General features: G+C 38.6%; 1 annotated feature.

Annotated features, from left to right (window-relative positions):
- Nucleotides 893-1,093: a silencer, noted in NCBI's record as "peak1422 fragment used in MPRA reporter construct". NCBI's record gives its function as "represses an SCP1 promoter by STARR-seq MPRAs in K562 erythroleukemia cells {active_cell/tissue: K562}" and the evidence as "EXISTENCE:reporter gene assay evidence [ECO:0000049][PMID:32103011]".

Here is a 3,638-nt window from a genome sequence, read left to right as displayed (position 1 = left end):
CTAGCCTTCTGAATTCTTTTTCAGGTACATCAGGGATTTCTTCTTGGTTTGGAGCCATTGCTGGTGAGCTAGTGTAATTTTTGGGGGGTCTGAAAGAACCCTGTTGTGTCATATTACCAGAGGTGCTTTTCTGGTTCCTTCTTATTTGGGTAGGCTCTGTCAGAGGGAAGTTCTAGGGCTCTACGCTGTTGTTCAGGTTCTTTTGTCTTATGGGGTGTTCCCTTGATGTAGTACTCTCCCCCTTTTCGTAGGGATGTGGCTTCCTGAGGGCCAAGATGTAATGATTGTTATCTCTCTTCTGGATTTAGCTACCCAGCAAGACTACCAGCTCCAGGCTGGTACTGGGGGTGGTTGTCTGCAGAGTCCTGTGATTTAAATCATCTGTGGGTCTCTCAGCCATGGATAGCAGCACCTGCTCCAGTAGAGGTGGCAGGGGGGTAAGATGGACTCTGTGAGAGTCCTTGGCTTGGGTTGCTTAATGCACTGTTTTTGTGCTGGTTGGCCTCCTGTAGGGAGTTGGTGCTTTCAAGAGAGCATCAGCTGTGATAGTATGGGGAGGACCAGGCAGTGGGCAGGGCCCTAGGACTCCCAAGATCATATGTCCTTTGTCTTCAATTACCAGAGTGGATAGGGAAGGAACAAGAGGGGCAGGGCTAGGCATGTCTGACCTTGGGCTCTCCTTGGGCGGATCTTGCTGTGGCTGCTGTCGGGGATGGGGGTGAGGTTCCCAGGTCAATGGAGTTATGTTCCTAGGAGAATTACGACTGTCTTTGCTGTGTCATGCAGGTTGTCAGGGAAGTGGGATAAAGCTGGCAGTCACAGGCCTCACTCAGCTCCCACACAATCTGAAGGGCCAGTTTCACTCCCACCTTATCCCCCAAGACAGCACTGAGTCTGTTCCAGACAGTGGCTGAGCGGGGCTGAGAACTTGCCCCAGTCTACCCTCCTCCCAGCTGCAAAAGTACTTAGGGCTTTCATTCTTCCCCAGCCTGTGGAGTCCGCATACCAGATTCAGTCCCTCCCCAGAGTTCTGGCCAGGAGACTTCTCAACCAGTTCAAATAGTTAACAAAGTTCAGCTGGAGGTTTCTTTCTCCCTGTGGCCTTTTCTCAGTGCCTCTGGCTGTCCTTCCCAAGGACCCCTGTGAGGAAGGGCAGAAATGGCTTGCTAGGGGATCCAGCATGCCCACAGGGCTTTTCCCACTGCTTCCTCTACCCTTGTATTTCACACTGCTCTCTAAATTGACTTAGCTCCAGGTAAGGTCAGAATCTTCTCCCATAATCTAGATGTTCAGGTTCCCTAATGGGGGTGTGTGTTCCAGGGTAGATGACCTCCCTTTCCTGCCTCCATAGGTAGGGCATTCATAATATTTGGTGTATCTCCTGAGTCCTGCAAGAGCAATTCGCTTTCTTCAGAGGATCTGTGGGTTCTCTTAGCTTTCCTAATGTATTCCTGCAGTCGTTCTGGAGCAAAAGTTCATGATGCAAGCCTCCACATGCCGCTCTGAGTGGGAGTTGCAATCTAGTCCTGCCTCCCATCCGCCAAGATGATTCCGTCTCTACTGAGGTTGTTGAAATTGAGATTAATAAACCCGTTCAAATATTAGTAGTATGTTAGAATATGTACACTGAGAGAGAGTATGACAACGCAATGCAAATCTTCCCATACTTGGGGTTAAAAGCATAATGTATACTGCGATATTTTAACATCTGTGCAAATTATGGTTACTTTGCAGTATGTTAGCAAATTGCATTAAGTATATTAAGTTAGCAAATTACATTAAGTATATCTGTTTTCATTACTGATAAAGTGTATGTAGAGTATGAAGCATAATAAAATACATTATTACTTATACTTTGTCTCCAAAATTTATTTTTCTAGGTTATCAATATCCTTATAGTCTCAATAAAATTGAGTTTAAAATATAAAACAATATGAACAAATGGTCTCTTCTCAGCATATGTAAAAAACAGCTTTTTTTACTTTAATGATTTAATTTGAGGCTATATAATCCTACAATTGTTTATACCTTATGTTGCAAATTGATATACCAGATCTCTGTTGCTGTCAGTTCTTCTTAAGTTGAATTTCTTTACATAAATTAAGTGGATTCCACATTCAACTCAGACATCACATGTAGATACTAAGCTTCATTTGTTTCCCAATAAGCACACGAAAATAAATATAAATGAATAAGTTGATCATTTTGAATGAACAATATCCTTAATTAAATCTTGGCTCATTTTCACATAAGTGGTTAGGATCTGATGTTATATGTGCAGGTGATTTTTATAGAGGCTCAATTTGTTTTATTAAGTTTGACAAAGAAAAGAGTTCTGTTTTGGCCATTTATATTCAATATGAAAAATGTTCAATATGTTTAATAAATAATTTTACCAAACATACCTAGTTCAATTAAAAACATCACATTGTGTGAGAATAAATCCCACAAACCATATAAAAAATATTTAGAATGCAATAATATTTTCAATGTAGAAACCATCACTGAGTAAAGTATACATTATATTTCATATTACAAAATTTTTCTTAAAACTCTATTCACTTGATAGTATGCTTAATTTTATGATCATATTTGGGTAAATTTTCATCTATGTGGCTGTGTACTTTAATTTGGAATAATAGAAACTAAGCTATCAAATGGATTTGACTAGTAGTACATCTAATTGATTAAATGAGTTTGATTTTCAAAATTAGTGATTTAACTGGCCAATTTGTTTTTTTTTTTACAATCTAGTTCTGGTATTTTTAAGAAACTATCTGAATAAATTGTGTAGGTATGTATAAGAGTCATCGTATTTAGTCTAACATTAAATTTTCTGATACTGTAGCCAAGACCAAGAGAAGTTATGTAACTTGCCCAAGTTACAAGACTGGTTCATAACTGAAAGGAGATCAGAATTCAAGACCTTTGCCATAATGTCTGGTTATCCTTCAATTGTGGTAGTCTTCTATCTTTTTGCCTCACAACCAGTCTGTTAAGTTGAAAGAATTCTCCAAAATATACTTACATAATACACTCTCTAAAGTACTGTTTAGTTGCTATTATTGGCATTACCATTTTAAATATCGTGAATCTTTGAGCTTTAGGGATAATAAAATGAAGTGTGAGAAGTTCTATTATACAGACTCTTAGAATATTTTATTTATTCATGAAGCTTATTGTGTCATTAGAACTAGCTTAGGTATACAACTTACCAAATTTAAGGGGGAGAATTTTGAACCATGTATGTGCAGTAAGTCATCAGTCCCATTGTGAATGGTACAATCTATTTATCTAAGAGCATTATTTTGTTTAGAGAGAGATCCCATGATCACTACATCTTTAATCTCGAATTTGGAGAAGCTGTGAAAGTATTACCCAATCTTCTCGCCATAAGCCTTAAACATCTTGTTACAGTCAGAAATACATCTGCATAGCACAGGTGTTGTTGGTCTTCCTCTTGTTCTTCACCAATACGTCAGATAAATAACAGAAGTGTATAATTATACATGTTAACTGTTTAAAGAAGATTTTTCAAAACAAAGGCTATTGATTTCAAGGTGGTTTAACAGATACCAAAATAACAAAATTTCCTAATTCTGAAGACAATGGAAAATTCTCAAGAAAATCAGCCTCAA

This window comes from Homo sapiens, chromosome 11 (genome assembly GCF_000001405.40).
Source record: "Homo sapiens chromosome 11, GRCh38.p14 Primary Assembly".
NCBI lineage: Eukaryota > Metazoa > Chordata > Mammalia > Primates > Hominidae > Homo > Homo sapiens.
This window is presented reverse-complemented; position numbering and strand designations above follow the sequence as displayed.